Source organism: Homo sapiens, chromosome 9 (assembly GCF_000001405.40).
Source record: "Homo sapiens chromosome 9, GRCh38.p14 Primary Assembly".
In the NCBI taxonomy this organism is placed as follows: domain Eukaryota; kingdom Metazoa; phylum Chordata; class Mammalia; order Primates; family Hominidae; genus Homo; species Homo sapiens.
This window is the reverse complement of record NC_000009.12, coordinates 27,994,901-28,018,344: the sequence shown is the minus strand read 5'-3', so window position 1 is coordinate 28,018,344 and position 23,444 is coordinate 27,994,901. Positions and strand designations below refer to the sequence as shown.

Sequence of the window (23,444 nt, the reverse complement as noted above, 5' to 3'; positions counted from 1 at the left end):
TGTTGTTGTTGGAATTGCTTTTGGCATCTTCATCATGAAATCTTTGCCAGGGTCTATGTCCAGAATGGTATTTTCTAGGTTTTCCTCTGGGACTTTTATAGTTTTAGGTTCTACAGTTAAGTCTTTAATTGATCTTGAGTTAGTTTTGGGATATGGTGTAAGGAAGGGGTCCAGTTTCAATTTTCTGCATATGGCTAGCCAGTCAGCCCAGCACCATTTATTGACTAGGTATCCCTTTCCCCATTGCTTGCTTTTGTTGACTTTGTCAAAGGTCAGATGATTGTAGGCATATGGCATTATTTTCAGGCGCTCTATTCTGTTTCATTGGTCTATGGGTCTGTTTCTGTTCCAATACCATGCTGTTTTGGTTACTCTATGGATTTGTAATATAGCTTGAAGTCAGGTCGTGTGATGCCTCCAGCTTTCTTCTTTATGCTTAGGATTGCCTTGGCTATTTGAGCTGTTTTTTGTTTCCATATGAATTTTAAAATAGTTTTTTCCAATTCTGAGAAGAATGTCATTGGTAGTTTGATAGGAATAGCATTGAATCATACTGCTTTGGGCAGCATGGCCATTATTACAGTATTGATTCTTCCTATCCATGAGCATGGAATGTTTTCCAATTTGTGTCATCTCTGATTTCTTTAAGCAGTGTTTTGAAATTCTCATTTGTAGAGATCTTTCAACCTCCCTGATTAGCTGTATTCCTAGGTATTTTACTCTGTTTGTGGCTTAAGGGACTGTGTTCTTGATTTGGCTCTCAGCTTGGATGTTGCCGATATATAGAAGTACTACTGATTTATAGATATTGATTTATGATCTGATTTATGTACATTTATTTTTGTATCCTGAAATTTTGCTGAATTTGTTTATCTGACCAAGGGGCTTTTGGGCAGACACTATGGGATTTTCTAGGAATACGGTCATAATGTCTGCAAACAGAGATACTTTGATTTCCTCTCTTCCTATTTGCATGCCTGTTATCGCTTTCTCTTGCCTAATTGCTCTGGCTAGGGCTTCCAGTACTATGTTGCATAGGAGTAGTGAAAGGGCATCCTTGTGGTATTCTAGTTCTCAAGGAGAATGTTTCCAGCTTTTGCCTGTTCAGTATGATGTTGGCTGTGGGTTTGTCATAGATGGCTCTTATTATTTTGAAGTGTGTTCCTTCAATGCCTAGTTTATTGAGAGTTTTTAACATGAAGGGATGTTGGCTTTTATCAAAAGCCTTTTCTGCATCTATTGAAATGATCAGGTGGTTTTTGTTTTTAGCTCTGTTTATGTGGTGAATCACATTTATTGATGTATGTATGTTGAACCAACCTTGCATCCTAGGGATGAAGCCTACTTGATCGTGGTGAATTAGCTGTTTTATATGCTGCAGGTTTTGGTTTGCTAGTATTTTGTTGAGGATTTTTCCATCTATGTTCATCAAGGATATTGGCCTGAAGTTGTTGTTTTGTTGTTGTTGTCTCTGCTAAGTTTTGGTATTAGGTTCCTGATTTGATAGAATGAGTCGAGGAGAAGTCCTTCCTCCTCAATTTTTTGGACTATTTTCCGTAGGATTGATACCAGCTCTTCTTTATACATGTGGTAGAATTCAGCTGTGAGTCTGCCTGGTCCTGGGCTTTTTGTGGGTTGGTAGGCTTTTTTTTTTTTTTTTTTACTGGTTTAATTTGGGAACTCATTGATATGTTTGGAGATTCAGTGTCTTCCTGGTTCAGTCTTGGGAGGTTGTATATTTCCAGAGATTTATCCATTTCTTCTAGATTTTCTAGCTTGTGTGCATAGAGGTGTTCATAGTAGTCTCTTAGGGGTTTTTATTATTTCTGTGGGAAATTTGTCTTTTACTATAAGAACTTCCGACTCTGATTTGAAATGTCATATTTGTCAGATACAGTTCTCCTTCCTATTTCTTGATAATATTAAATTCATTTCAGAAGTCAGACTTTCAGGGGATAAAAATATCCTAGAAGATAAAAGGGTTTGTAGCTCATGTTGTACCTCAGATAGCCTGACCTAAGTATTTGGAAGTGGTGGGATCTGCAACGGAAACCCTGGACATAATGCCAAGCCTATGCTCAGAGTCCCACATAGGCCACTGCCATTGTATCTACTGCCAGCTTTTAATGTAATTTTAGGTCCCATTTGGAACCTAAAGCAATTACCCTGAGATTATTCTTGGATATTAGCTGGAATGAGGAGGGAAAAGAAATTGGAATCAGGAAATGCAGGTCATTGGTCACAAAATCAGGATCAAATGCCACTTCTCCAAGGAAGCCTCCATTAAACTTCAGAATAGGTACATTTCCTTAATATATCCCTGAGGTATCTTTTTTTTTTTTTTTTGTCCCTTTTACTTTTCCTTCATAACGGTTAGTTAGCACAGTTTCTCATTAAATATTTGTGTGATTATTTGGTCTCCTCTTGTAAATCAGAGTTCAAGTGCTTTGCTCTCCATTGCATCTGAAACATTCAGCACAGTTCAGGGTGCATAGTTATATCCAATATATATTTGTAAAATGAACAAATTAATAACTAAAAATTATTAACATTAAGGTAAACTGGGATTATCACCTGAGTCTCAGGTTGTTTTGAGGGTAGAAAAGGGACAAAGATAGCTCTAATTGTGATTGTTAGTTTGTCACGATGTACATTCTAACTTTTTATTAAAAACAACTATCCTTGGCATCATTACCCTTTCAGGGACATTAGTTGTGATTCTTTCCAAAACCTGTGTTCCTAATGTAATAATTGCTTTGAAAATTGAAAATATCACAAGTAATATTTATTGACATTTTTCCAGACAATGTCAAACACGGAATTTAAACATAGAAGGAAGAGTACTAATTTTCTTATTTAAACGTTGAACCTCAGAATTCTTGCATTGATGATTTACTTACGGGCTTGACAGTAAAAATTACAATTTAAAACTCCTCAATACATTATTGCCCTGTGTGTGTTCTATGCATTTTTATAATCTTTAACAATTCTCCATGGGATAAAAAATTTGTAAGCTCCATGTACAGAAGTGGAACCTTTTCTCAATACTACAAGAAATTTGTAATGTAAGGCCTGCTTTTGCTAAACCTTGGGAGAATAGGAGAATGAAATCAGTAGGTTTAATAAGAGGAACTTGTTATCCCAGCTCCTATCCAAGAATTACTTCCCACTAATATATTTCCATTTTGTTAAAGGATCTTGAATAAGGACTGAGTAGCGTGGACGATTTGGTTGCCTTTTGGATCAAAGAATTTCCAGTTCTCTTGACATTCAATTTGAGACACAACTTTGCTATATGTGATATATAACTCTACCCACTAAAAATTATTCACTTCAGGAACTATTTTGTTTTTTATCACCACATTTTTTGTACAAACTTTAGTTTTTGAAGCACTAGAGGTATGTTAATGATTCATGTAATAATTTGATGGAATTTATAAATCTATGCAGATTATTTGGAGAGTTTTCTAAATTATTAAAAATATTGAATTTGCATGAGGTAGTAGTCACTTTTTTGGTGTACAGTTCTATGAGGACTAACATATACCTAGATTCTTATAACCACCAACACAGAATTATCTTCTGTGGGCCCTTCAAGGTCAGACAGTCACAAAATATAATTTGTGGCTCAACAACTCAACTTCTAGGAATATGTCCAAGGGAAATAAAAACTTGTCTACATAAAAACTAGTAGATGAATGTTTATAGCACACTATGCATAATCGTCAGAAATTTTTAAAATGTTACTATGAACTAAATGTTACCTTTGTTAATTGTCTTATCCTGGATAAAAAAGTAAAATTTATCTAGTGTATCAGTTGGAAGTTGCTTATCATTTCTCATATTCTCAGCATCTGCTAATAGTAGGATGGTTAAGAGTGCCATTGAATTGATCTAATTTAAGGCACTTGAGTGCAATTACATATTCTTATTCTTCTGTTTTCTAATCTAGGTGCTTGCATATGTATGGAGGGGCCTAATGGATCAGTGAATTATCAGAACAATGAGTAGCACTTGTATCAAGAGACTATTATGCAATTATAATGAAAAACCATTAGTCATTAGAATTTTTTGTCATTTTTTCCCCTTTGGTAAGTGTTCTTTATTTTCTTCCAGCTCAGTAGGCTAATTCTAAAGAATAATTTAATTTTCCAAATGCTCGAGCGCACCAACTGTGTTCATGTGTTTCTAAGAATTATTGAATAAGGCCTGCAGATTAACTTGCCATAATTTCTGAGTGGTAACCACGTCCTACACAGTGGTGGCAAAAAAAGGCTGCACTTGCTGGAAATGATTGACATCTGGGCTTGAGAGGTATCAGGGCCTGAAGAACTTCACTGCAAAAATACCAGAGCATGTACTTCTTCACCTTAGCAATGTAACTAGTTTGATTTCTTTCTAGGAACTGCAGAAAGAATTGAAAAGAAAATAACGGCAATGAAAGCCCCATTCTTTAGCCAGAAATATCCTTTCACCTAACAATCTGACAACTAGTTAAAACCCTATCATCTTCCAATTTCATGTGCTAAGAGGATAAAGGTAATAAATTCCCTTGAACTTACTGATTTCCAACTCCAAGTTGAAAGTAGGGGTATAGAAAAAAAGAATCAGAAATATCTTTGTGGGAAACATCTGCTTCTTATTAGCAAGCCAGGAACCAACCATAAAGCAAAGCTCCAGCTTCAAAATGAAGAGCCATTGTAGACAATAAGAAACTAAAAGTAGAGCTACTTACTATCAGCTTCTTCTCATTCACTCCCCGTCTTTGCCACATTCCTCTGTACAAGAGTATTTGACAGTTGTTGAAAATACTGATAAAAGTTTTAAGCCAAATGTTTGCAGGATATTTGGATAATTTTGATTGATTGATTCCTGAATAACTATGCTAGAGGAAGGAGAGACCACACTAGTTTAACATCAACGAGATTTTTCCCTGAGTACAGCAGATAAGCAGATTCCTTTTACCTTGGGGCTTCTTTCTCACACTATTCCTATTACATGTTACAATCGTCTGGATCATAAGACCCTTCTAAGTCAGGCTTGGAGCAGGAGGAAAAGGTGAATAAGAGTGAAGAATTTAAAATACATATATAAAGGAGAAGAAAAAGAAATACAAAGACCAAAAGTGGAAGGCAGAAATAGGGAATTCTATGTGCCAAAATGTCTTTTATCATCCCTAAAATCCTGATTGTTACTAGAGACCCAGTGCTCAGAAAATACACTCGGGTACCCTATGCTAAAACATCATTCCAACATTTTACAGGTTTAAAATGTGTAAAGCATTCGTTCTCAACATGCTAACCCTAGACCAACAACATCAATATTACTGGAGAAGTTGTTAGAAAAACAAAATCTCACGCAGCATTCTTTATGTAATTCCGCAATCAGAATCAGGATGGAGCTCAGGAATCTGTCTTAACAAGCGCTGCAAGTGATTCTGCTGCTGTCCAAAGACTGAGAACAAACAGGAATTTAGAGAAGGTGGTGTTTCTTTTAATAGTCAATTTCAGATAGACAGTTTTTGAATGGAGATATCATAAAAGTGAAGAAAAGAAAGTAGGCTCCTTGGGGCTATAAGTGGGAGTTGCCCAGGGAGGTGGCAGCTATGAGCAAAAATGATCATCTTGAGAAAGCTACAAACCCCAACTGAAATAACTGATGATGGATGACTGGCTTGTGGAGTAAAGTGTCTTGGCCAGGCGGTATGGAGGGGTTGCCAATCAGAAGTAGGGTGAGAAAAGGAGGAGCTGGTGGCTTGAATGGATTGTTGGAGGAACAAAAAGTCAGGCTACGTCTTGTAAAACTATGATTAGCATTGCACTCCTCTCACTGCCGTTGAATGGACCTTGGCAGCAGAGACAGTAGAGAAAGGCAGTAGAGAAGGTTAGAACCTAGAAGACTCTAACTTTGATTAACTTTTTTTTTTTTTTATCCTTGAGGATAAATCATGAGGAACCTATAACCCTTTTGGCCACATGCAAAAAAGCAAGGTAAGCCAGAAACTTTTTAAACTCTCCATTCTCTCGCAAGTGGGGAAGGCATAAAGTCCTCATGAGACCAGCTCCTCTCCACCTTCACATCCTCCCCATGTGTAGCTCATATGTATGTGACCTTATACATGCTTCTCAGTTTCCCTTTCCCTCCACTCTTTTCCCAGCCACTACCCTGTGGTGGGCAAAAAGAAAGCAGAGAAGGCAATTTTGCTCAGTGGTAAGAGGAGACTTGTTTCCTTTTATGAAGTCCTAAACCAACTCTTCTGGGGAAAATAAAGGTGGGATTGTACTGACACAAAGCTGGCAGAAGAACATAATCACCAAGTTCCACTGCACCCTAGATGAAGAAATAAATTCATTAATGCTGTGGTTATAAGAGTGACCCACACAATGTGACTGTCCTTCAGAGGCTTGGGGTTAACAGCTGAGACCAACATTCCCTTTGACATGCAGGGCAGTTGTTGGCATACATGTGGATCTGAGTTCATGCCCTGCCTGTGTCTTCTTGACTGTCCACCACAGGAGGCATCTCCCTCATCAGGCCACTTCTCTTGCCAGGAATAACATTAGAAATGCTTAGCCTGAGGCTTTCTCACAGTTTGTGACCACACTTTAGGGTATTTAAACTCTGCAGTAAGATGAAAATGCACAGAGCTCAGCAATCCCTATGGTCATGAAGCTTCTAACTAATATATATATCAAATACAATTCCATCACTTTTAATTAAATGGAATAGAAAAGTGGCCCAAATAACTTCACCCATCTGCCTGACCTTCTACTGCTAAAGTACCATGTATTTGAGTGTGCAGCAAACTGAAGTCCAGATTTGGGGACAATGAAGAGGGGTTTATATCACATAAATTCAAATTGCTTACTGTCCTTAAAAGTTACTCAGCTACTCTTCCATGTTCCTAAGTCAGGCATTCTGACTCTTTCCCCTGCACCCCTGTACTCTCTATTCTTGCTATTTCCTAATGCAGAATGATGTACACAGTATTTGATTCCTTTTCTCCAAATATCCAGGCCTGTCTCACCTCCTAAAACAACCTGTGAAGGAATTTTTCCAAACAAATGTTATTTCCCTCCCTACGAAAAATTCTGGTGCCAGCAATTTTTTGTGTCGTGTCACAGAAATTCAGCCTTCGTTCCTTACTGCTGATTTAAAAATCAATTTGACCTGGCCTCTTACATTTGACTTTCTCATTCTCTTGAACCCTTCTCTACTCACATCCCCTTTCCCTAGACCAGTTGACTGACGTAATGTCACTCAATTTCACCCACCTCTTTTTTGTTCCATATGTTATTGTACCTAATTGACTACTAAACCACAAGGGGATAAGCTGTGGATAATGTTAAGATTGGAAGGTACCTTTGGACCCATTTGGATTTATTTTATTTTAGAGACAGAGTCTGTCACCCAGGCTGGAGTGCAGTGGCCTGAGCATGGCTCACTGCAGCCTCGAACTCTTGGGTTCAAGAGATCATCCTTCCACCTCGGCCTCCCCAGTAGCTGGGACGACAGGCACATGCCACCAGGCCTGCTAATTTTTTAATTTCTTTTTGGAGTGGCAGGGTCTCACAATATTCTCCAGGCTGTTCTTGAACTCCTGGCCTCAAGCAATCCTCCCATCTCTGCCTCCCAAAGTGCTGAGATTATAGGCGTAAGCCAGCCACTGTGTCCAGCCTTGATTGATTTTAAAACAGTATTTCTAGGGAATGCTGTTGAGCCCATGGTGCTCTGTGGCTATTTGAGGATATTGCAGGGAGCAACTCAAGAAATAAACCTGACTGGGTGGGATCTAGAAACTCCATCCCTGTTTGAATCAGAAAAATAGGGCTTTTCTCTGCTTTATACATTGAGTTTCCATGTAAGATTTTATTCAGAGCAAAAAGGAGGGATTATAATGCTTGAAAAACAATCAAGTGGTATCATATGGGTGAGGAAAGGGGCCCAGAGGAGTGAGGTCTCAGTGTCCAGGTGTCTAGGTTACAAACTATGTTAGGGCAGAGTCATGCTGACTCAATGCTGTTACAACTCAAACTATCTCCATACAAATCAGTTATACTTAAATTTTGTAATTAAAAAGAAAATTTAATGCTAAAATTTTAAGATACACATGTTAGGTATACAATTCAGTGGTTTTTAGAATATTCACAATGATGTACACTTTCTGCTTCCTCTATGGACATTTTATGTAACTGGAATCATGTAATACGTGATCTTTTGTGAATGACCTTTTTCACTTTGCGTAATGATATCAAGATTCATCCCGATTGTAGCATGTTAATCAGTACTTCATTCCCTTTTATTGTCAAAGGATACTTCTTTGCATAGATACGGATAACACATTTTATTTATCCGTTCATCAGTTTATGGACATTTGGAAGTTTCTACTTTTTGGCTATTATGAAAAATGGTGCTATGAATGTTCACATGCAAGTTTTTGTATAGATATTTATTGTTACTTCTCTTGAGTATGTACCCAGGAGTAGAAGTGCTGGGTTATGTGGTACACCTATGTTACCATAGTAACTTTTTGAGAAACTGCCAAACTGTTGTTCAAACAGGCTGCACCATTTTACATTTCCACCAGGAATATATGAGAGTTCCCATATCTCCACATCATTGTCAACACTTGTTGCTATCTGCCTTTTTTATTGTAACCATCTAGCAGATGTGAAGTAGTATTTCATTGTGGCTTCGATTTGTCTTTCCCTGATGGCTAATGATGTTGAATATTTTTTTCATGTGTTTAGTGGTCATTTTAAAATCTTCTTGGGAGACATATCTATTCAGATCTTTTGTCTATTTTTAATTGGGTTATTTTATTGAGTCATAAAAGTTCTATATATAGTCTTCTTACAAGTTTTTATTATATATTTATAATTTACAAATGTTTTATTGCATTCTGTGGGTTGTCTATTCATTTTCTTAATGGTATTATTTGCAGCACTAGTTTTCATTTTGATAGAGCCCATTTTATCTTTTTTTTTTTATCACTTGTGCTTTTGATACTGTAAGAAGATCTTAGCTAACCCAGGATCATGAAGATGTATTCCTGTGTGTTCTTCTAAGAGCCTCATAGTTTGTCTATGACTCATTTTGAGTTAACTTTTTTGTGTGTATCATATGAAGTTAGGGGTTCAACTTTATTCTTTTGCATATGGATATCCATTTGTCTCAGCACCATATGTTGGAAAAAAAAAAAACTTTTCCCTTTGAATTATCTGTCAAAAAAACAACAAATTTATTTCTAGACTCTCAATTCTATTCCATTAGTCTATATGTCTGTCCTAATGTCAGCACCACACTGTTTTGATTACTGTTGCTTTATAGTAAATTTTGAAATCGGTAAGTGTGAATAATCCAAATATATTCTTTCTTGAGATTGTTTTGGCACCTTGGGTTCCTTATAATTTCTTTATGAAATTTAAATCAGCTTTTCTATTTCTGCAAACAAAAAGCAGTCATGATTTTGATATGTATTACATTAAATCTGCAAATCACTTTGGTGGGCACTGTCATCTTAACAGTATTAAACCTTTCAATCGGTGAACATATGTGGTATATTTCCATATGCTTAGGCCTTTAATGTCTTTCAACAATGTTTTAGTTTTGCATTTGTTTTCTTAAACTTAGTTCTAAGTATCTTATTCTTCTTGATGCTATTGGAAATTCAATTTTTTAAATTTCATTTTCAGATTGTCAAATACATTCAGTATTTATGTATTTATATTGATCTTGTATTCTGAAATCTTGCTAAAACTCATCTATTCTAATAGTTTTTAGTGGATTATTTTAGATGTCATCAACAAAGAGAGATTTTTAATTCTTCCTTTACAATCTGAGTCTTTTCCTTTTTTTCCTTCCATAACTGTCTTGAGTAGAATCTTCAGTGCAATGGTGAATAGAAGTTGCAAGAGTGGAGTTATATTAAATGGATATGTTCACTGATTTAAGAAGGATACAGCTGTACCTTTCTGGTTGTATTTACATATTTTATAGATATCATCTATATTATATGTATAACATAGGTAAATAGATGTATATTTTTAACACACAAGTTATGATGATATAGAGGAATAAATACCAGAAGGCTGAGAAACATCATAAGAGAATCATATTAGACTTTAATATTTTCCAGTAGTTTGCAACTCAGCAACATAATCTTTGAGTTTCTCCCTACTTCATCACTTTTCATAGAAAGCCCACTCACCTTTGCAGACCTCTCCTGAGAGTGAAGGAGATTCTGATGACAAACGATGTAAGACGGGAGCCTCCATTAGGACATATAACAAAAGCCCCTGATTTCAACAAAAAGTGGTCATTCAGTAAACATGCGCTGGTCATCTTCACCATCTAAGCTCGGCGGAAGATGCCACATGAATGTTGTCATGAGCAGAGGAAGAACTCACCTGCTGAACTTTTTGAACATTAGGCTTGTTTGAGTGACACCGTGGTAAAATGGAAAGAAAACCAAGCCAGGAGCCAGAAAAATGTAGTCCATAATCTTGATTTCTTTTGTGACTTTCACACCAGGTCACTTACATGTTCTCACTGTAGCATAAAAATTGGTGTGTTTGCCATCCAACCGTCAGATGATTGTTATGAAAATAAAAAATGATAACATTTAGGAAACCACTGATGTTTCTGCAGCTCCAAGGTATGAGAGTCAGTTTGATGGAATTATCTGTAAAACTGATAGAATCCCATTATATTTTCTCCAATGTTTTGTTTTATTTGTCAGGGCATCTGGTGACTAACAGAGGGTTCCCCATAGCCATTTTATCTTAATTATCAATAGAGCCATTTTAATATTTCAGAAATAAAGATAAGTGAGGTTATTTTAGTGGATAAAATATAATTAAAAGGACATTTTCACAGTCAGATTTACTGTTCATTTTTGGAGTAGTAATCTAGTAACTTTTCTGCTAGTAAGCCTTTACTTGGTACTGGACTGTTACTCAGTTTTCATCATGCGTAGCGCTTTTTGTCTTTCCTGCCCTCCTCTTCTACCATGCAATTGTTTTCTATTCTTCTATAAATGACTCTCCAGGGTGTCTGTTATTTTACATAACACTATTTCCTGGGTTTGGCGCCACTTCCTAACGTGGACGATGAGGCTGTCAACAAGAGACTATAGAACTTACTTTGTTTCTTATATTAAGGAGTTGGGCTAGATGACTGTCTCTGAGTTTGTTTCTATCTGTACAAGTCTGCTATTCTATGCTACGTAAGTGATTTTGTTTTAAAGAGGAGTTACTAGCTTTATGAAACAGCTTAAAAGCAAACTAACAGACTAGTGAAACACAAGATTGCCCCATTGCTAGTCACAAGGGTCCAGATTGGAAGCATCCCTAGTACTTAGTCTGGTGCCTAACACATACTAGGTATTCAATAAATAATTGTTACATGAATAGATAAAATGAATTAGACTAGCTCAGTATATGTGGATTAGCTGCTCTCTACACTTGTTCAACCATAAACATTTGTTAGGTATTGCTGTTTAGTTTTAGGGGAAAGCATTTCTGAGACATGGCAACACTGAGGTTGATGTATGATACATCATTTTAGCATGCCATGATCTGCTAGATAACTCCTCTGAGAGGAGGCCTTAAGAAAGAACATGTAGTGAGAAGTGTTCCCTAAAAGAGTTTTCATCTATCCTTGAGAGATTATTGTAGTCCTACTGGGGCAAAATATACCATGGTTAAAAGGGTTGGTTTGGAATTAATATGCATCATCATTGAGTTCATGATTAAAATTACATTCCATGGCCAACCTAGATTTCCTAATAAAAAAATTCTGTGTCCCTGGAGTTGAGCTTCTGTTCTATTTTTTATAGTTCTTGTCTAATGCAAGGCATTTTATACAGTTATATAAATTTTCCATCTTGCTCTCAGTGGCTGAATACAAGCTGTATAAATTATTTCAATCCCAAATCACTTGTAAAGGCAATCTCCACTATTCCTCCCTCTGATAGCCCCACTATTTTGATCTCTGGTAAGGATTTTTTTAATCTTAGGTAAGGATTTCTTCTTTTTAATCCTCAGAAGGCCCATGTTTTCTGTGGCTCTTTTCCCCATTTAAAATTGACTTTGTGATTGTGTTTCAATTTCACATTCAGAGTTTCTTGTTTTGACTGATAAATGTTTGCAAGAAATGTTATCTCCCCTTATGCTTTTTTCCATCTTTTTTCTTTTTTTCTTCCGGAAGGAGCTTTGCATGGGTAGCAAAGCTCTCCTGGTGACACTGGAAATAAATCTTAATGTCTTTGCCCTGTGATAGGCCTAGACCTTATCATTCTTCCTTTTACCCCAGTGATAATTGCTTATCAGTACATACAGGCCTATTCATATGATTCTGATGCTACTGGGGTTTACATCTTTAGGAAGATAGACAGAAAGTGCAGTGCTCTGAATCCATTAATGGCTTTAATAGAAACCAGACAAAGAAGGAATACTGGGCCAGGTTGACTATCTCAAAATGATAAGGCCATCTATGCATTTTTGGATGCTTTCTTATGAAGCTGTTTCTCCTCTGCTCTGTCTTGGTGGCCCTATAAAGGAAAGATTTGAAAAATGCAGTTCTGTCAAAGCTGCAATCAAAATAAAAGATTATATATTAAAAATAAATTCATTGCCATTTTTACTTCCCTCATCGGCTGAAATGAATCTCAGACTGAAATCACCACCAACACAACACACTCAAGCAAGCCTACAGCCCCACAAGACTTTGGGACCAGCCATATTCTTTAAACTTAAAAAGAAAAGATTGAACTTCTCACTTAAAAAATAAGTATATCAATTTGGAACACCGAATACCAAGTGTCTTAGGATATGTGGAGAATTAGATAGAAACTGTGGGGAAGAAAAGTAGAGGGAAAAAGACTGGCAAGAGAAGGGGAAAGGGAAAGAATAAAATGAGGCCCTGAGAAAAGTTTTTTAATCCTGTCTCATTTGTTCTGAAATCATCTCAGAGAAGTTGGGAATCACATATGATATCCTCACCAGAGCAGTTAAGAAACATGATAACCAAATTGGCTAAGGTTAAAACAGCTACACATGGTCTTAACTTCTAAAGTGTCCATGGTGGGCACATAACACTATGGAAAATGCCTGACATGATTATTTGGCTGAGGACCACTGGATTGGTATGACCTCAGCCAGTCACATCGTGCAGGAAGTAGAAAGTTTATCCAGTTGAGAGTCATGTGTTACTGGGAAAGCTAGTTAATTATTTCCCTTTTTCCAAGGGAAGGAAACAACTGTATCCTGCCACTTTCAGATGTACTGCCTAATTATGGGTATCAGGGACATTTCCCCTCTTCTTGCGTAACAAAGGCAGCCTCGCTGCATATGTCTAAGAAAAAGCCTCCCATGTTCATTACTGTTCATTATTACTGGGCTGGTTGATGGTTTTAAAAATCATATCGATAAAAACACAAACCCATTTCTGGAAGGAACTCCTCTTATATACATACCTGCTACCAAAACAGAGATCCCTGCCGCATTCTCCAACATTTCTATCTCTACCCATACCTCCATTTCAAACCATCACCCTATTTTGGTGTCTCTTTCTCATTCTGCTACATCAGCTCTCTTACCTGTCTTCAAAACCCAGCCCAATTTTGCTTTCTCTTGAACTCCATTAATTTGTTCAGGTGCCTTTGTTGAGTATCCACTATAAGCCAGAGAATGTTTCAAACTCTGGGGAAAAAAAACTACTTATCACACTATTTATCAACTATTAGTTGATATGTCATCAACTAATATATCACACTCCTTACCATCAACGCAGTTAATTGATAAATACACTAAATGACTCATAAGTGTCAGAACCTATGTGACAAACTGGCTTACATTTATCAAGAAGGTACGTCTTCTAGTAATTGATTATTTTGAAACTAAGATCAATGCAATTCAATTAACTTTTATTGAGCATATACTATTTGTACAATACTGTGCTTTAAGCTGTGAGAGAAAAAAATGAATCGGATAAAAATCTCTACCTTTTAATGAACTAACAGGCTACTGTCTATTTAAATATACATTAAATTTAAATAATATAATTTATCTTGCCTGGTATTTTAAAGTATATAAGAAAAACAAAGATCAAAAACTTATCATGGGAAATGATTAATTGTTATTATATAGGATTAGGTCGATACTTCATTTTTAATACAAACCACTGTATCAAGAAAAGCTAGATTAATAAGGGGCCAATTCAAGATGTTCCAAGACAGATATCGTACAAATTATAATTCTCATACTGAAGGCTAGTTTGATTATTTCATTGTTCTTAAAAAGAAAGCATGTCACCTTTGGGTTAAATTATGTATTAAGTGGGTTCAAATTCACTCTTTTTTCAAATGGCTAGTTAAAAAAATATTCAACCAGCAATGTTTGCATTTCCTTAGTGTTGGTACATAGTGGTGTTCAAATAAGACAAACTCGGTCCCAACCAAGATGACTAGTTTTCATATGCAATAAATCCTCACTTAATGTTGTTAGGTTCCTGGAAACTGCAACTTAGGACATATAACAAAACCAATTTTACCACAGACCAATTGGTATAATCAAGGATTAAGTTCCTCTGGCATATTTCTAGTTACAAAAACATCATCAACTGGGAGGCCAAGGCGGGCGGATCACAAGGTCAGGAGATCGAGACCATCCTGGCTAACATGGTGAAACCCCGTTTCTACTAAAAATACGAAAAATTAGCCGGGTGTGGTGGCAGGCGCCTGTAGTCCCAGCTACTCAGGAGGCTGAGGCAGGAGAAGAATGGCATGAACTCGGGAGGCGGAGCTTGCAGTGAGCCGAGATTGTGCCACTGTACTCCAGCCTGGGCAACACAGCGAGACTCCATCTCAAAAATCATTGAACTTCTAAATAAAGACCCAAAACACCTCTAATAGTAAACACTGAAATAAATGTGAACTCTCTAACTCTCTCTCTCTCTATATCTATCTATCTATCTATCTATCTATCTATCTATCTATCTATATATCTATATATCTATATGGTTAACAAAAACTAATAAAAATGAGTGAGATAATTACCCAATTTTTTGTGAATCAGTGAGTGACAGCAGTTGTTGTAGTGAATTAAATCAAGGAATAAATGTTTGCAAAGCAGAAATTTTAAGGAGCTCTCCCTACCACCATGCAGTCCAAAAGCAAATAATCACAAATATGGCAGGATCACTAATGCTTTCTTACCACATCATTTATTGTCATGCATTTGTGTGATTATCATATATACTTTACAAATTTTAATTTTATAATAATTCATATTCATTAACTTATTCATTTTTCAATCCACTTTTTCCATTTGGGGGTCACAGGTGGCCAGAGCCCATTCCAGCAGCTTCACACTCAAGAGAGCAACTATCCATGGACAGGATGCCATCCCATTGTAGGGCACACTCACACATACACTGACACGCACTCACACTGGGATTAGAACACACCACACGATTGAAACACACCAACGCAGCTAACATGCACATCTATGGTGTTTCGAAGGAAACCAGAGTAGCCTGAGAAAACCCACTGACGGGGAGAATGTGCCATCTCCACACAGACAGTGGCCCTAGCTAGGAATCGATTTTTTTTCTCATCAATGTTATGATGAAATGATGTTGACTGAAATGGCGTTATTCAAGGACTTGTACTTAAATATCTCCATATACATTGGCTTTGTTTAAGGGTCTCTGTCAAACAGACTAAGTAGCAACATCACACAAATTCTTACAGAGGGCAACAATCAACAAGAATGCAAAATTATGTGGCACAGCATGATTTGAACTATTTTAAAAATATATAAGAATATAAACAGATTGGGAATCTGGACAAATGGAAAACAGTTATAGAAATGAGAATTTTTTTGAATAAGTTCCTTTAATATGACTATAGTGGTTTTCAACAATAGAAAAATAAATAAATTGGCACTATTAGAAAGTCTGCTTCTTTCTCAGTTGTGGTACTTTCTAATTTAGAACCACTTGCTGATAGATGAATTTTACAGGCTTGGGTTTGTCATATGAAACAAATTGAAATACGAGAGGGAACAAAAAAAAAATGGAGGGAAGGGAAGAGAGAATTTAATTTGTTGGGCACTGACGGTAAGTTCATGGTGGACAATAAAATATTAGTGTATAAATCTGCCTACACTGTCTGCTCCCAGGACCCATTTATCTATGTTCATTGGTCATGTTGCTGGTGCTCACACTGTAATATTCAATCTGATTGATCGGTCTAGGTTTAGCCTATCTGAGTGCTGTGACTTGTGAAATAGTAAGTGCTCCTTCCCAAAATGTATGAAAGTTTTGCCATAGGGCAGCTTTTATGAACTTGATTGTCAAATTTTGCTATAAATTTTAATTTTCAACTGTGTGGTGTGGCAAGTTTTTCTCATATCTCAGAGTAACTTTCAATGTATCAATTATCAAAATTTTGATAAATACTTGTCATTGCTTGGAGTAGATCTTCTTAGAGCATCACAGAAGTTGTAAACATCCTTTTGTGCATCATCCTTTTTTTCCTGACTAGATTGTAAGCCTCTTGTAAACAATGATTTCATTCCTAGTTTCCTTCAGACTTGAAACTAACAATAATTCAGCTGTACTTGTGCTTTTTTTTTCCTTTCTGCCCCCTGCTTTCTCTTCTCTGCTTTAAATAAATTTCTTTTCCGAATGGTCCTATCTTTTCCCCGGAACAATGCCTCTGAAAGACTTGCAACAATATAGGAAAAGCACTGGACTTGGGCAAATAAATCTTGATTTGTAGTTATGTCTGCCATTAAGTAGCACTGAATGTAACACAGGCGCAGAAGATTGGGAGCATATTTTGCACACTTTCTGGGCCTTAGTTTTCTTATCTGGGAGTTGAAAGGCATAAACCAGTTGAGCTCCAAGGTTCTTCTTGATCATGGGCTTATTGTATAACTTGTGATAGTCCCTAACATCTCCTGACTTAGAAATTCTACAAGTCGATGATTCTGTTACATCAGTTGCTATTCAGGAATGCTCTGTGGATCCCTGGAGGTTGTGTGAAAGTGCCCTGAGGGCTTCTGTGGCATGTGGAAGAGGGGCAAGGGAAGCCAAGCTGGCTGCTTCAATCAGAACAGCTCACTTTGATCTATTTTACATATTGGTCTTTCTGAATAAGATTTCATTTGAAGAAAGGATTCTATAGTTAAAAAAAAATTTGTTTGGAAACTTCTGTACTAGATTAAGAAAATTCCTTTAAAAATGTGTGAAAACACATTGATGGTGATTATAGATCCCAAACAGATGATGTCTAGAAATAAGAAGGATTGATTTGTTAAGTAGTAATCAATTAGTCGAAAATATTTTGTAAAAGTAATTTGGAATTGTCTTGACAGAAATAACAGTTTTAGACATTGTTTGAATAAGAATTGAGCTGGCATGTCAGGATAAGGAGACTAGGCAGGTGGGAATATGTTTTGTATTAATTTTAGGTACTTCACAGTACAGTGGCTCCCAACTTGAGAGTCTGGATAAAGTTTCTATCAGGCTAGAGTGAAGAATAATTATGAGAATATATGGCAGTTTTTTTATGTGTACTTTCTTGGCAAATAAAAAACTATTGTCAACTTTCGGGTAGTGCCCCCACTTTTAAAAACTATGAAATCCAAAAACGTCAGAACTATTGCTCTATAGAGCTTATCACTGTGTCAGACATTCAGATACTGCTCAATAAATGTTTGTCTGATTGAATATGGTGTCAGGAATGCAGAGATTGTATTCTAGTAAATTAAGTTGGTCATTTGACAAGCATGGAACCATGTAAAAGTCTGGTGCCTAAAGAAATAATTTTCCACAGTATCTTTATTAAAGAATTTAATCCAACTCCATTGACTCAGGCTTTTGAAATTTATAGTGAAGGAGCCAGAAGGAAAATAATCCCCAACCTTCCTTTTCTTTTTCTCCCTCCTTTTTTTCTCCTCCTTCTTTTCGGCTTGTTAATACCACTCTGTGGCTCTGTGATGTGTGGAATCTGTTTCTGAAGTCTTCCCAGTAAAGCTAGCATCCTTTATAATGTTCTTTCAGTGGGAAAACTTATTTCAAGTTACCAAAAAGCTTACAAGTTGATTTTGGAGCTGTGCCATATGGCAATTTGAGCACTGCTGCCACCTCTCATAATTTAATACAATACCCTCCATAGAGCTTCTTCGGTGAATGTGAGGTATTCAGGTTGCTTCACTCGTGTCTAGTCTTTTCACTGAGTTTATCCTGTTAAGTATCTAAAATCAATGTCACATCATTGTTGCATATCTGAGAAAGAGGTTTTAGAAAACAATCCAATCCCCTCAAAAGCTTATTTCAAGTACCGTAACAACAATTATTTGACATCATGTATAGTGGAGCTAATATTGAGTCACAGGAGAATTTGTTATTTAAAATCCATTTTATTGCCTTTTATTAGGTTGGTGCAAAAGTGATTGTGGTTTTTGCCATTACTTTTAATGGCATACATGTGCCATTAATACATGTACGATTTTTATTACCTCTATGTTAAATAATATATATTTAGGAGTTCCCAAGTCCTAGAAGTCAGCATCTACCTCTCTCCTAATCTATAGAAGTCCTTTGCACAGTCAGTCTTTCATTGGACTTAGAGAAGTCAGTGTACATGATAATGGATATCACTAATATTTCAAAAGAAGACTTCTGGAAGGGCACTCCAGAAACCTGGTGGCAGTCTCTTCCAGGGAGGCAGCAGAGGAAAGAAGTGACCCACTATAAACATACTGTGTCAAGGATGAAAAGCCCAATGAGTATCCTTTATATATAAGGTCTATCACACTCCCTACATAAGCATACATGCAAATGCACGTGCATCACACAGACTCTCTCTCTCTCTCTCTCTCTCTCTCTCTCTCTCTGAAGATTAGGCACTGTGATTAAGTCGTAGAGGTTTATGAAGTCAAATCTGCAGTTCGTCGGCCAGCTGGCAAGTTACACCTGCACACAAAACATCATATCTTTCTCTTTTCCACCTGAGTCTCTTACCCAGGCATTCCTCCATTATAATTTTTGTGGTTGATGCTTTCTGATTATGGCCTTCCTAAACCCTCTTGGCTTCTCTGTCTTGGCTTTTCAGAGAGTATGTTGTTGTTGTTGGCAGTGTTGGGTTTTTTTTTGCTTTTTCATTTTTAGTTATGTGCACTAACCTGGAGTATGAGGTCCAGGACCCAATGTGCCTTTCTTCTTCCAGGTATTATTTTAGTTTAGGGTCTATAAATCTTTTGCCTCTTGATTCTTCACTCCTAGGTGCACATAAATTCTCTACTGTGCCAAGATTTTAACCAGATACCAAAAGTAAGAGACAACTCTGGGTCTGACCCTAATCTGCACCTTCTGTAGAACCCTAGGTACTTAAGGCTGAACTTAGAGTATTTTTAAAATTTGTATGGTGTAACAACAACCCACCTCATAATAATAGTTTACTCTTCTCTCTCATGCTGTGGCAGTTATGGATCTCAGCTGGGCAGTTCTTACTCGAATTCTGTTTTGTTTTGTTCTGTTTTTTTGAGACAGTCTCCCTCTATCACCCAGGATGGAATGCATGACCCAGTAATGGCATGATCTCAGCTCACTGCAACCTCCACTTCCCTGGTTTCAGCAATTCTCCTGCCTAAACCTCCCAAGTAGCTGGGATTATAGGTGCCTGCCACCACGCACAGCTACTTCTTTTTCATTTTTAGTAGAAACGGGGTTTCACAATGTTGGCCAGGCTGGTCTCGAATTCCTGGCCTCAGGTGATCTGCCTGCCTTGGCATCCCAAAGTGGTGGGATTACAGGCATGAGCCACCGTGCCAGGCCTCAAATTCTTATATATCTGACGTCAGATGGTGGCTGAGACTGGAATCATCTGAGGGCATCCTTGCTGGTTCCTGGGCTGGCATAACTGGAACAGCTGAGGGCTGGTCAGGCATATCCCCCTATGAAGCTTCTTCCCATGGCTAGTTTAGACTTCTCCACAGCATAATGGTCTTTGAGCAGTTGGCATTTTTACATGGCAGCTGGCTTCACCGAAAGTGAGCATTCCAAAAGAGTCAGGTGGAGGCTGAAAGGTTTCATATGACCTAGCCTCAGAGTCACACAGCACCACTTTCTCCATATTCTCCATTTCTCTACATTCTGTTGGTCAATGTAGACATAGGCTAGCTCAGATTCAAGTAGCAAGAGAAACAGACCTTACCTTTCAAGGGCCTGTGCATACAGAGAAGAAAGGAATTGATGGCCGTTATCTTGGAGACAAGCTACCTCAGTGGGTATCAAGCTCATTATATTAAACTAAAATATTATAATTTTCAAAATAGCAACTAATTCAGACTGGTGTCCACCTCCCCCCCTCCCACCCCAAAAAAAGGCTCATGTGAATCCCCTTCCTGAAACCCATTTAAAAGATGCACCAGTTAGGCCTACATTTTGAAACGGATAACACCTGCTCCACTGAACATGACTTGGGAAGGAATAATTTGCTTGGTGGCTGGAAAATAAGTGCATTAAATTAGCATTGAACTTGCTTTCGACCCATTTAGTCTTAAAGAGAACAAATCACTGGATTATCAGTAGTTCACAGACAAGGCAAAAAGATACATTTTTGCAAAGATCTCCATTGTGGGTAAACCCAAGATGGCTTAATTTCAGCCTGATACAGAGTGCAAACTCATAAAAGCAAATTGCCTGCCACATAGTAAGTACACAGTAAAAATTAGCTGCAAGTATTCAATTAAAGAGTAAAGAATTACAGTCTGAGCATAAAAGTACTTAGTAATTCATTAGAAAAAATATGTTATAGGCAGGAGTCTGAGGCCCAACAAGGGGCAGGGATCTGTCCAGGGTCACACAGCTTGTAGGAGCAGGGCCAGGTTTGAAGTTCATCTGGACTCAGATTTCTCACTTATGACGGGGGGAGGGGGGAGCACATCTCAAAGTGCTTAATAACCTGGGAATTTTACCGCAAAATGAATGGCATTATATTTCAGCTGAAGTTTTGCTGAATTCTACAAAGAACAGCTTGACCCTCAATTAATGAGCACGTGCACATCTTAAGTCTTTCACATCTGCCAGGTGGTACAAATGTAGGTAATTAGCCCAGACCTTGAGTGGCCTATGCATTTGACCCAGTTACCAATGTTGCAGAAAGTTGTACTGGGCTTTGATTAAATTCAGTATAAAGCCAGCAAGAGTCATTATATGTCAGAAGTAACTGATGGTATTGTAAGGAATCTTGCTGAATATGTGTATATGAATATTAAATTCCTCTTTTGGAGTTTAAAAATTCAATTTGACATAAGAGAATTTTTGAAACCTGTGTCAGCTAAAGCTGAAAATAATAGGTATGTCATGTGTGTATGTGAAAATACAAATTTTTAAAAGCATTTATTGGGCTCTTTAAGTGTTTTAATTTTTATTCTTTATTGATACATACTAATTCTACATATTTATGGAGATGTGATATTTTGCTACAAGCATACAATGTGTAATGATCAAATCAGGGTAATTGGGATATCCACTACCTCAAACATTTATCACTTCTTTGTGTGTGGAATGTTGCAAATCTTCTAGCTATTTTGAAATATACAATACATTACTGTTAGCTATAGTTGCCCTATTGTGCTATTGGACACTAGAATTTATTAATTCTATCTAACTGTATTACCCATTAACTAACCCCCCTTTTTTTAAATCTCCTCTTCCCACTACCTTTCCCTGTCACTAGTAACCACCATTCCATTTACTACCTCCATGAGATAATTTGCACATGAGAGATTTGTTTTTCTGTGCCTGGCTTATTTCACTTCATATGATATCCTCCAGTTCCATCTATGTTACTGCAAATGACAGGATTCCATTCTTCATGGCTGAATAGTATTCCAGTATGTATATGTACCACATTTTTTACCTATTTGTCCATTGATGGACATTTAGATTGAGTCTATATTTTGGCTATTATATGAATAGTGCTGCAATAAACATAGGAGTGCAGATATCTCTAAAACATTGATTTTCTTTCTTATATATACACAGCAGTGAGATTTTTGGATCATAAGATAGTTGTATTTTAGTTTTTTTGAAGAACCTTTATACTGTTTTCCATGGTAGCTACACTAATTTGCATTTCCACCAACAAAATACAAGTGCTCCCCTTTCTCAACATCCTTACCAGTATCTGTTATTTTCTGTCTTTTTGATAATAGCCATTTTAATGGGGATGAAATGATATCTCACTGTGGTTATGATTTGTATTTCCCAGATGAGTAATGATGGTGAGCATTTTTTTTCATTTACTGCAACCTTACTGAATTAATTTATCAGTTCTAACATTTTTATTGAAGTTTTTAAGTTTTTAAGTTTTTCTAAATGTAAGGTCATATCATTTGCAGACAAATACAGTTGACTTCTTTCCCATTTGGATGCCTTGTATCTCTTTCTGCTGTATAATTGCTTTTGCTAAAACTTTTAGTACTATGTTGAATATAAGTGGTGAAATTGGGCATCCTTGTCTTGTTCCAAACCTTTAAAGGCTTTCAATTTTGCCCCATTCAGTATGATGTTAGCTGTGTGTTTGTCCATACATGGTCTTTATTGTTTAGAGGTATATTACTTCTAAATTTATACTCAATTTGTTGAAAGTTTTTACCATGCAGTGATGTAAAATTTAGTCAAGTGCTTTTTGGCATTTATTGAGATCATCAAATAATCATATGGCTTTTGTCCTTGATTCTACTAATGTGATTAACCATCTTTACATCTCTGGAATAAATCCCACCTGATGATAGAGACTGCTCTTTTTAATGTGTTGTTCAATTTGGTTTGCTAATATTTTGTTTAGGATGTCTGCATCTGTGTTCATTAAGGATATTGGCATGTAGCGTTTTTTATTGTTCGTCTTTGTCTGGTTTGGGTAGCAGGGTAAAGCTGGCCTCATGGAATGAGTTTAGAAGTATTTCTTTTTAAATTTTTGTAACAGTTTGAGTAGAATTAGTATTAGGTCTTTAAATATTTGGTGGAATTCAGCAGTGATGCCATCAGGGCCTGGGATTTTTTATGATGGGAGGCTTTTTATTACCACCTCTATCTCATTATTCATTATTAGTCTGTTCAGATTTACTATTTCTTTATGGTTCAATCTTGGTAGGGTGCATGTGTTTAAGAATTTATCCATTTCTTCGAGGTTTTTCAATTTATTGGTGTATTGCTGCACACGATTCTCTAATGATTCTTTGTATTTCTGTGGTATCAGTTATAAGGTCTCCTTTTTTGTCTTTGTTTCATTACCAGGAGGTTCAGGAATCCTGGTTATTAGTGTTACTTAGAGAAAGTATTCTGCCAAGTGACTAATTTAGCCAAAAAGAATTCATTGAAGGCAAATTAAGAGCAGAGAGTTTATTGAGAGAGAGACAGTACAC

The 23,444-nt window shown here is 36.8% G+C and overlaps 1 protein-coding gene across 19 annotated transcripts in view; it reads left to right on the top strand.

Annotated features, from left to right (window-relative positions):
• Window positions 1-23,444, top strand: part of LINGO2 (leucine rich repeat and Ig domain containing 2) — a 1,275,985-nt gene that overhangs the window by 1,195,257 nt on the left and 57,284 nt on the right. For 3 of the 19 annotated variants that reach the window (XM_017014303.3, XM_017014305.2, XM_017014304.2), the window contains one exon: window positions 3,953-5,990. The exons of 13 other annotated variants lie outside the window; for them this stretch is intronic. The gene's annotated coding sequence lies outside the window, so the exon portion shown is untranslated. Of the gene's footprint in view, window positions 1-1,795; window positions 3,400-3,952; window positions 5,991-23,444 lie in introns of those variants that run through there. 3 more of the 19 variants (NM_152570.4, XM_011517724.3, XM_017014306.3) reach the window with 2 other exon arrangements.